General features: G+C 41.4%; 1 protein-coding gene across 4 annotated transcripts in view; it reads right to left on the bottom strand.

Annotated features, from left to right (window-relative positions):
• Window positions 262-11,774, bottom strand: part of PTPN11 (protein tyrosine phosphatase non-receptor type 11) — a 90,972-nt gene continuing 79,459 nt past the window's right edge. For all 4 annotated transcript variants that reach the window (NM_001330437.2, NM_002834.5, XM_011538613.3 and 1 more), the window contains exons 14-16: window positions 7,924-8,036; window positions 5,384-5,485; window positions 262-4,355 (exon numbers count right to left, since the gene is read on the bottom strand). In NM_001330437.2, coding sequence (NP_001317366.1) covers window positions 5,416-5,485; window positions 7,924-8,036 — 183 coding nt within the window. In that variant the 3' untranslated portion in view covers window positions 262-4,355; window positions 5,384-5,415. The remainder of the gene's footprint in view (window positions 4,356-5,383; window positions 5,486-7,923; window positions 8,037-11,774) is intronic.

The raw sequence follows: 11,774 nt of genomic DNA, 5'->3' as shown, positions 1-11,774 counted from the left end.
GCATTTCTTCTATAGTTTACACAGACTATACTTTTTACTCTTGAGTTACTCATATGTTCTCCCAGATAGAACTCCCTATCTCCTAAAGCTATTTCTACAGGAAACACTCAATGAATTCTTCAGGAACTCATGCCTTTATTCTATGTTCCAAGTCACTTCTAGATAAGAGCTGCTAAATGTCAGTATTTTGCCAGTGTGAGAGGTGGAGTGACCAATAATCCCATTTTTTTCCTGGACATTTCTGATGAAGCAAACGACAAATGCCATCATATAAGAAAATGGTTTTATTCCTAATTTTTAGTTCCCATACAGTTTACAAATACACTTTTACTCTGATAATACAGCTTTGCAACTAGCAAAGCAGTTGCGCTAACACCCATAAATATAGGTGGGGAGACAATTAACATCCACTAATGTTTCTCTACATAAACTATTCTTTTAATGTCATTTTTTTAAGAACAGTTGCAAATAGACTACATAATATACGTGGGCAAAAAGGCAATTAAGTGAATCTCTTGAAACACTAAATGTATAATAAACAGCATATTATCAACATTTACATGATTCACATCAAAATGATGACATCCTAAAACGTATTCCTTTTAAAGGATAGATTTATCAATAAAATATTACATATCTTTTAATACTCTGGTACAATACTTCATATACTGCAGGAAAATTAATTGTAGGTCTAGTCATCAGCTTAATCAGGGATCCTTTTCCCATTAGCTTTTATTAATAAAAGAATCACAATTAGGTCATAAATAAACAGGCAAATTATTAATTACATGATTTGAGGCTTAGGATGAAAACTTGTCAAAATTAGTTTGATATACAGCAAAGTTATACAACACACTAAAACCAACTGTTCAATAGTTTTTGCCTTGTGTGAACTGCCCATAGTGAAAAAGGAACAAATTTTTAGTGATGAAAGATACAATAAACTATATTTTGGAACTTTTCAAGAGGAAGAAGGAAAAAAGATTTCAACAAAATTAAGGGCAAATACAGATCCTAACAAAGGCATCCTGACATCAGGGAGGCCATGTGCTTGCTATGTGTGAAAGTTGATCCCCCAACAACATACAGAAAACAAAAGCTGCACTGGCTTTGTAGTTATGTCTATAGTCTAAGTTTCCCTTATGGATACTAAGCTACAACAAAACACTTGACAATTGCAAACCTTTCCACATCCCCCTGAATTAAAAATAACTCAAGATGTTATTAGTTCTTAAAATCCCCAATAAAATAACCTCTAAAAATAATCTTGACCATTTTCCTGGCTGTTTCCCCGAAGCAACTTGGCTCTTTAAAGAATGCACACACACCAAGAAAGTCCTACCCGTGTCTCCTCATCCCCATTTAGCCACATTTGAAAAGACCTTGGTTTCAGTGGGAGAGATGACCATAAGTTTCAGAAGGGCCACACACTGGACATGAAGCGCCTTTTAGTTTTTTTTAAAAAAAGTTATTAAGACTGTGAAATTTGGCTTTTTTTTTAAACTCCAATACCTAATGTGCCAGATAATTCTTTCACCCCAAAATATAAAATCCTATGCTTATAATTTTAAAATCCTCAGTGAGCTATGGAATATTGTGCATATTTAATACCCACCAGCAACCTAGAAGTAGATGGCATCCATGTGTCTGTCACACCGACTTTCCAAACAACCTCATTCACCCATTACTGACTGCTCTGGCCCTGGGCGCTCTGACTTCCTCAGAAACCACCTCTTTGGAACTTTCCTTTCCACAACTTTTTTTTTAAAACTTCACCTCGAGCTTTCTCCATCATCCCAGCCTCTCTGCCTGATTCCATCTCATGTAAAGTAAACTCGTCTGAGAACCTGCGATCACCTTTTACCAAGCACATGATAAGCCGTAGCAACCTAGGGACTATGATAACTCTGGCCTTGGCCTAAGTTTACATAAGAACATGATAGTTTGCTGACCTCGTGGAGGGAAATCTAAATGAAATCAATATCTTATAACAAAACTAGCCAAGATCAGGTATTTCCATTCTGAGTATAAAAGCAACTGATCTTAAGCAACAGGCAGAGATGTTAATGCAGAAGATATATTTGTACAATCAAACTCTTGTGTGCTGGTGAAAGACTTTACCCCCAAAGTCAAGTCAAGTCAAGACAAAACCAAAGCAAAATGGAGAATGAGTCGATGTAACAATGCGATAAAAAGAACAGCATTCAAGCTTCTTGCTGCAAATACTGAACTGGAATCTTTTTCTTTACAAGTTTGACTAGAAGACAGCAGTGACACTTCCCTAATAAGGGAATACCTTCAGGCCACACCTGTGTTCTGAAGCAATTCAAAGTTCAAGGAATATTGGGGGGTGGAGGTGGGGGCTGATATACATTTTGTCAGTGAGAATGGCAGCCAAACTACCCCAAAGTCTCAAGGGACTGAGAGACCTCAGAAAGGAACTACCACCAGGGCTGGATCTAGGCCTTCCTTTCAGAAGCCAAAGTCAGAAGAATCCAAGGAGGCCACAACTTCATGGCAAAGATGCCATAGCATTATTACCATCACAAAAGTCAACCAATGATATTTTCATTGAAATATCCGCACTGGATGATTCAACATATGAGGCAAAGAGGGATGTCTTTGGAGAAGGCACTTAATGTAGAACATTAGCAAATCTTACTGGTTGGCTACAACAAAAATGAGCTCATTCAACCTGGCTGGAGGCCTGTTAGGGCTGTTCCTTCTCACTGTGGCCTGACTAAAACCCAGTGGCATTAAGAAAGAGTCACGTTTCCCAAGTCTGGGGATGCCCCAGTGGGGTGGTGCTGCTCTCAAAAGCCCTGTGTCCCTAAACACATCCATCCTCACAAGATCAGTTTCCCCAAGTGCTGGTTCCAAAAATAGGCTCAGGGCTAGCAGAAATCATTCAGGAAGCTTCTTGAAGGCCCTCTCTTTATTTCTTAGTCTGACTTTCAGCTTGTCCCAGCTACTGTAAGCAGCTTCGGCTTCCCAAGGTCACTAGCAACTTCTGCTTTTGCTAATATCCTTGGTTTTCCATGGCACTGGTTGTGACCGTCTGTTAGACTAGTGGCCCCCCACTTAACTGCACCTCTACTTCACACCCTTTTCTTGAATCTGAGCTGGGCTTGTGACTTGTTTAGTAAGTAGAGGGCATACCCCAGCTTTCTTCTGATTAGAAAAAACCATCATCATCATCATCATCATCATCATCATCATCATCATCATCATCAATAGAGGGAAGTAGAAGGGACACTGTGACAATTCTGGACTTAAGTTTTCAGAAGGCCTGGCCATTTCTGCTTTTGAGCTCTTGGGAGCTCTGAGCTGCATGTGAGAGGTCTAGCTACCCTGCCAGCCAGGCCACTGAAAGAGACTACACGAAGAAGGAGAGACTCAGGACTGCAGGCAGAGAGAGAAGCCCAGCCATCCCAGTCTCTCCGCCGACCTGCTGACCACATGAGTGGCCACCTGCAGGCTGGCAGAAGAACAGCCCAGCTGAGCCCAGCTCAGATTGACTAACAGTTGGGGGCAGGTTTTTTTAAGCCACTAAAGTTTTGGGATAAGTTTGTCAGCAACATTTGGCGACCAAAAACACTGGTCATTCATAGACGCCTTTTTTCTAAGTACAAGACAATTATTCAAATGCAAAGAAAATATGGCAAACGTTTTCCCACCACAAACTTCTCAGTCAACAGCCGAACTATAATTGGTCAACGGCTGGAAAAAAGAAAAAAAAAAAAGCCACACCTCTTACCTTAATTCATAAATATCCATGATTCTTTTTCTATGACTCTTTAATGCCAGTGCAAAGGTCAACTTCTGACAGTCTCAGGCACTGGCTTAATTCTCATTTGGCCAAAAATAGAAGCCATCAAAATGAATTATCCACTACTGGATACATGATGGTAAATGAGATTGTTCTCACTTTTCTAGGTCGTTGTTACTTAATTTTCCCAAATCATTTCTTCTCATCATCCCCAACAATGAGGAAAAAAAAAATTAAACTGGTTAAGGGTATAAAAATAAAAATAAAAAAGCCTATTACTAGAATTTGAATCCCCATAATCTGCAAAATACAGCGCACAATTTAACTGCTTCCTCAATTTCAAACAAATTCTATAAAATATAATGTTGTCTACATTGTAGAGATGATTTCTTCTTATCTGAGGAAATGAGTAATTGGGAAGCAGGTATTGTTGAGTTAAAATACAGTGGTCTTTAAATGGTTTCAAATTTTGCTTATCAAAAGGTAGTCAACCACATTGCAAGCCTTCCAAATCCAAATTCTGTCTTCACATAAACTTTCTTGCGTCTGTTCTTGATCTTTTTAGGGAGAGGGTGAAAGTCCACATCTGGGGAAGAAATAAGTTAAGAGTTTTTAAGGAACATATATCTAAAAGCTTAACAAAGCATTAGGTGATTTTAAGGTAGACTTAGAGCTTTTAACTACACTACCCATTGAAGTGGAATTTCGACATGAAATACTGACACTGAGTTTTTTTTTTTTTTTTTTTTTTTTTGAGATGGAGTTTCACTCTTGTGGCCCAGGTGGAGTGCAATGGCGCGATCTTGGCACACTGCAACCGCTGCCTCTCCTGCCTCAGCCTCCTGAGTAGCTGGGATTATAGGCATGCACCACCATGCTCAGCTAATTTTCTATTTTTAGTAGAGACGGGTTGGTCTCTACTATTTTAGTTGGTCAGGCTGGTCTCGAACTCCTGACCTCAGGTGATCCGCCCACCTCAGCCTCCCAAAGTGCTGGGATTACAGGTATGAGCCACCATGCCCAGATAAGTTTCTAATTTATCATGAAAACATACATCATATACTTGGGTCACACTTAAAAAACGTAATTGATGGGGAGGCAACATATGGGAGAGATGAATTTCCAGCAGCAGAGCTGGAAGGGATGTCGGTGACCCAGTCGGCAGCCAAGTGGTCTAGCACCCCATGCCACACAGTTGGTCAGAGACTGACTGAAATGAGAACTCAGGCTTCCTGACTCCCAACCACCCAGTGCTGAGTCCCGATGCTTCCCAGATCCCTACAGATCATCCCCCAGCACAGCCTGGGCTAACCAACTCTAATAAAAATTGCAGGAACAGTGATACCTGCACTCTACCACCAGTATCAGCCATTTCTCTGGAATAAGTGCTAGCCTTGCCTCATGCAGAATTAATTCTGTGTTTGATTTTAATGTTTAATGAACTCTAAACTAAAACCATCTTGGAAAAAGAAGTACAGGGAGAGGAAAAAGGAGCCTGGTTTGTAAAACTCAATTATGGTACACTTTGCTAAAACATTCCCAAATTGCTTGCCTGCTTAAAAATACTGCCAATTATATAAACAATTAACCAATAGAGCACTTGCATTTAAATACCTATTTCTGTGCTGAAGTTTTGGCAGGTTTTCTCATCTGAAACTTTTCTGCTGTTGCATCAGGCCCACGTTTTCATAGACTCTAGCACTGTCTTCTCTCATTCTGGAGAGAAAAGAAAAAGAAAGACATTTACAAAAATGTAGACCACGCTGTTTAAGCTTACATGATATCTATAAAACACATACTACATTCTTTGGGCACCAGATATGGTACAGACACAGTTCCTGTGCCTAGGACCTGACATTCCCAGGGAGAGAAGAGATAGCCATACAGCAATATAATTACAGAGGCAGAAGTGAAATAACGCTGGGCATGGTGGCTCACGCCTGTAATCCCAGAACTTTGGGAGGCCCAGGTGGGTGGATCACGAGGTCAGGAGTTTGAGACCAGCCTGGCCAATATGGTGAACCCCGTCTCTACTAAAAATACAAAAATTATCCGGGTGTCATGGCACATGCCTGTAGTCCCAGCTGCTTGAGAGGCTGAGGCAGAAGAATCTCTTGAACTCGGGAGATGGAGGTTGCAGTGAGCAGAGATCGTGCCACTGCACTCCAGCCTGGGCGACAGAGCGAGACTCCATCTCAAAAAAACAACAGAAGTGCAATAAAAGCCTCAAGTCCTGGTGCTCCCTGGGGTCTGGCAGAAAGCAGGTTGTTTTAAGGAGGCCTGTAGGATGAGGCATTTGGATCGCACTGTGAAGAAAGGTTGGAAATGCACACATAGAATGAAATCCTATTAATTTCCAGTAGAGGGATCTGAACAGGCAAAAGCTCCAAGAAGGGAAAATACAGGAGCAGGCAGGCAGTGATGAGAGATCTATTTAGCCCCAGCTCAGGTTATGTGAAGGGCAATGGGTGGTTTAGGGCCTAGGACAGAGGGCCAAAGCATCAAGATCCCAGACTTCTTTCTGCTGAGCAGGGAGATGACATCAGAGCAGTCCAGGAGAGTAAGGAACCCAGCAGCTGTGGGTGCCAGGCTGAGAGGGGCTCCAGGACCAGTGTATCCTGGATCTGAACCCTACAAGGGAGACGACGGGAATGAAAGGCAGACAGGCTGTCTGTCACAGGCATGCCACTGGTACTGAGGGAATCATGACAGCTGACTCAGTCATGCCAACAGGAGGGACGAGCTGTCTGGCAAGGACTCAGAACCCTGGCATTCCAGTTCCATTGCAAATTATTGCAGAGAGCAATTTAAAATATCAATTTTCCCAGGCAGTCCACTGGGAAAGAAAAGAAAAAAGATAGAAAGAAGTGGCAACTTGGACGAGAAAATACCTCTGCTGTATAATTTCATTTCAATGTTAAATAGAAAGCAAATGTTAATACAAACCTCATATATGCCACCTAAAACATTTATATAGAATATTAAAATCTGCAGGGGTTTAAAAATCCATGTCGAAAGCAAACAGAGAGAAGATTCTTAGGGAAAAATAAAAGGTAAATGTTATACTAGCAAGTGACTTTCGAATATATAGAAAAATAATAACTTACAATTGCTATTCATATCCTCAATTTGACAAATGCTTTCCTACCGTGTTTTCAACAAGGAGTCGGGAAGGATTTCTGGGAAGGGCTTGAGAGTCAGTATTTTAGGCTCTATATGCCATACATGGTCTCTGTCGCATATTATTCTTCGGGCTTTGTTTTGTTATTGGGTCTTTGTTTTGTGTTCTTTTGTTTTACAACCCTTTAAAACCATTAACAGGCCATACAGTAACAGGCCATGGCCCACATCTGGCCTTGTGAGCTGTAGTTTGCTGACTCCTGGTTTAAACACCCAAAGTAGATTTCTGTTGACTGGTGGCAAATGAGCAGAACATGGCTGGGCTGACACATTAGTGGTCAATTTATTTACTTTGATTTTGCAAAGAGCCTTAACACATCATTAAGACATATGACCTTCCTTTGTTACAATCCCCAGCCCATCAAAAGAAAAATTAGATTCTTCTTGGAGAACCACCACTTGATATACTTAAAATCCCATATAATCCTAGCTAGCATAGCAGTCAGCCTTCAGTTTAGGAATTTATTTTATTTTATTTTATTTTTAGACAGAGGCTCACTCTATCGCCCAGGCTGGAGTGCAGTGGCATGATCTCGGCTCACTGCAACATCCGTTTCCTGGGTTCAAGCGATTCTCCTGCCTCAGCCTCCTGAGTAGCTGGGATTACAGGCATGCGCCACCATGCCCGGCTAATTTTTGTATTTTTAGTAGAGACAGGGTTTCACCATGTTGGCCAGGCTGGTCTCGAACTCCTGACTTCAAAGTAATCCATGAACCTCGGCCTCCCAAAGCACTGGGATTACAGGCGTTAGCCACCGTGCCTGGCCAGCTTAGGAAAATTAAAACGTGGTTGAGATAGCATTAACACAATCAATAGATATCACCAGTCACAGATACACTAACAGTAGGGCAACAGGAACGTGCACCAGTGAAAGGCATGTGCTACAAACTTGTGTTTTGTTTTTGTTTTTGTTTTTTAAACCTTTTTAAACCACCATGACCAGGTAAAAAGAATTTCCTTCAGCACTACTTACTCTGCACAGGGTGGCGTTGGAGTACAAGGCGGGAGAGGGCTCTGATCTCCACTCGTCTGGTCCGCTAGAGAATACTTAATATTTGTATATTCGTGCCCTTTCCTCTTGCTTTTCTGAAATTTGGAAGAGTGCACATGTGAGGGACAATGGTTATTTTAAGGGGATAAAAAGCAAAAAAGGTATTTTGCCCAAAAAAAGAAAAAAGAGGGAGAAAGAAAAAAAAATTGATAGACGGGTTGAGAATACTGATACATTGACCAAATTGTTAGGGGATTCACCTTCTCAAGGTAAATACACAGTAGGAGTGAAAAGTACTTTTGAACCACAGAATTTGAAAGCACAGAGTCACGCATTAACAACTTACTGTACCGAACCAAATGTCCCTGTTTCTACAAGAGAATTCACACTTTCTTTGCCACATTAGCATCTAATCATTTCATAGTTCATGTGGAACACATTTCATGGTTTTTCAGGCAAACAGCTGGGAAAGGAACTCCGAAAACAAATTCACCCCAACTAGAAATGGCACACAAGAATGAAAGATGGTAGCACTCTTATCAGAAAAAATAACACACTTCATTGTATCTCCCCTCAGCCCTGGAAAAGACTCTGGCACCATTTTTGTTTGTTTGGAGACAGAGCCTTGCTCTGTTGTTCAGGCTAGTGTGCAGTGGCATGATCTCGGCTCACTGCAACCCCCGCCTCTGGGGTTCAAGCGATTTTCATGCCTCAGCCTCCTGAGTAGCTGGGATTACAGGTGCCCACCACCATGCCCAGCTAACTTTTTGTATTTTAGTAGAGATGGGGCTTAACCATGTTATTAGCCAGGCTGGTCTTGAACTCCTGAGCTCAGATGATCCACCTGCCTCAGCCTCCCAAAGTGCTAGGATTACAGGCATGAGCCAACACACACCTGACCCACCTTTAAAACTTTATTTTTGGTTCTGATGATACCCTGGGGGGGAAAAGGCAAAGAAAACCAGCAGTCATGCAGTCTCATCTCAGATGTGGAGTGAACTATATTTGGTAGGACATCTAGTTAGGAGGTTTGTCACCCTTTTCTACTCCTATAGGCACCTGGAAACAGCCAACTCTGAAAATCTAATCCATCAGATGAGCATCATTATCTAATGTTGACTTCACTATAGGATTGCCCTTAGGGTAGCCATATCAAATACTAATGTACAAGCCAGGCCTGGTGGCACAGGCCTGTAGTCCCAGCTACTCGGGAGGCTGAGGCAGGAGAATTGCTTGAGCCCAGGAATTCAAGGCTGCAGTAAGCTATGATCGCACCACTGCACTCTGGCCTGGGCAACAAGACCCATCTCTAAAAAGCGAGACCCATCTCTAAAAAATAAAAAATAGGGCTGGGCATGGTGGCTCATGCCTGTTATCCCAGCACTTTGGGAGGCCAAAGCAGATGGATCACTTGAGGTCAGGAGTTCAAGACTAGCCTGGTCAACATGGCAAAACCCTGTCTCTACTAAAAATACAAAAATTAGCTGAGTGTGGTGGTGCATGCCTATAATTCCAGCTACTCAGGAGGCTGAGGCATGAGAATCGCTTGAACCTGGGAGGTGGAGGTTGCAGTGAGCCAAGATCAGGCCACTGCACTGCAGCCTGGGTGATGGAGTGAGACTGTCTCAAAAAATAAAAATAAAAAATAATTTTTTGCCTGATACTATTTGCCTCTGTTAAAGTAGCCAAACCAATTTATTAAGTGATAAAGCAGTCAGTAAGAACTTATAGTGTAGGGAAGAAGCTGCAAAACAGACATCCAAAGCAAAAATATTTTGTTTGGTTTATATACTATTTTAATTTTTTGAACAGCCATTTTCTTAAAACAAAAAGACTTGTAAATAACCATTTCTGAATAGCAGTCGTAAATGTTTAGCACTGAAAAATCTTTGCTTATATAAGAAACAATCCTTAGAAAGATACAATATAATTCAAAATTAAATATTAAATGGAAGAATTGGCAAGAACATTTGGTTTTTTTGTTGTTGTTGTTTTTGAGATGGAGTCTTGCTCTGTCACCCAGGCTGGAGTGCAGTGGTGTGATCTCGGCTCACTGTAGCCTCTGCCTCCCAGGTTCAAGCAATTCTCTCCCTCAGCCTCCCAAGTAGCTGGGATTACAGGTGTGCACCACAACACCCAGCTTATTTTTGTATTTTTAGTAGAGACGGGGTTTCATCATGTTGGCCAGCCTGGTCTCAAATTCCTGGCCTCAAGTGATCCACCCGCCTCGGCCTCCCAAAGTGCTGGGGTTACAGGCCTGAGCCACTGTGCCTGGCCTTTTTTTTTTTTTTTTTTAAGAGACAGGGTCTCACACTGTCACCCAGACTAGAGCGCAGTGGTGCAATCATAGCTCACTGCAGCCTCAAACTCCTGGGCTCAAGCAATCCTCCCATCTCAGCCTCCCGATAGCTACAGGAACATGCCACACTCAGCCAAATTTTTTTTATTTTTTGTAGAGAGGGGGTCTCATTATGTTGCCCAGACTGGTCTCAAACTCTTGGCCTCGAGTGATGCTCCTGCCTCAGCCTCCCAAAGTGCTGGGTTTACAGGCATGAGCCACCATGCCCAGCCAGCAGAGAATATTATTTTAAAACTTATCCCGCCGGGCACTGTGGCTCATACCTGTAATCCCAGCACTTTGAGAGGCCAAGGCAGGTGGTCACTTGAGGTTAGGAGTTCAAGACAAACCTGGCCAACATGGTGACACCCCATCTCTACTAAAAATACAAAAATTAGCCAGGCGTGGTGGTGCAGACCTGTAATCCCAGCTACTCAGGAGGCTGAAGCAGCAGAAACACTTGAACCTGGGAGATAGAGGTCGCAGTGAGCCAAGACACCACTGCACTCCAGCCTGGGTGACTTGAGATGGAGTGAGACTCCATCTCAAAAAATAATAAAAAATAAATTTTTTAAAAAATAAAACTTATCCTGAGGTTTAAAAATCTCAACTCACTTTTTAAATAAAAATTTTAAATATAAATAGAAACTGAGGAGTAAAACTGCTTTTTTACTCGATACTTTTTTTAAAAGCAATTTTTAAAAACACATGACATGAGATCTACCCTCTTAACAAACTGTTAGATGTGCAGTATTGTTAACTATATACCCACTGCTGTATAGAAGATCTCTGAAGTTTTTTGTCTTGTATTACTGAAACTCTATACCCATTGAACAGCAAATCCCTATTTCCCCCTCCCTACTCAATACTTCCTTGAAAATAAAAATCAGTATTTCTATTAATACATAAAGTGATTACAACAGAATTTTCTAGTGTGGAATAATTAGTACAAATGAAACAGGAATTACTTCAATGACTCAAAGGAATCCAAGGAAAAGCATTAAAATGTTGAAACTTTTTAGCTTATGTAGAAGACCAAGAAATAAAACTGACTCACAAATCAGATGGGCTTGTCTTAGTACTGTGACAGCCCAGGCTGTGTTATAGATCAAGAGAAATGCTCAGGGAATAGGGATTGTTTTGTTTTGATTTGTGTTTGTGGAGTAGAGGGTAATGTGTTTCTGAAGCCTAGAAAATCAACTGAAATTGATCTATCTCCACCCAAATTCAACGTCACAGCACAGTAACCAAGCCTTCTGCAATGTTTATAACAAATTTTATGGCCTTGCCAACTGACACACACCCAAGATTGAGAGAAGGTATTGATCACAAGACTCCAAAATCATCTGGTATTAAGTATCTTTCCATGTTAAGTAACTGATTACATTCATAAACCTTAAATTACAAAAAATCCAAAGGCCAAGAGCAGGAAGAGAGGGTAAAATGAAAACACTTGCCTTGGTTACAGAGCAGCCTAGACTACTTGTCCAGTGCA

The sequence above is a fragment of the Homo sapiens genome, chromosome 12 (assembly GCF_000001405.40).
Source record: "Homo sapiens chromosome 12, GRCh38.p14 Primary Assembly".
NCBI classification, from domain to species: domain Eukaryota; kingdom Metazoa; phylum Chordata; class Mammalia; order Primates; family Hominidae; genus Homo; species Homo sapiens.
Note: the sequence above shows the minus strand (reverse complement) of the source record. Positions and strands in the feature narration are given on the sequence as shown.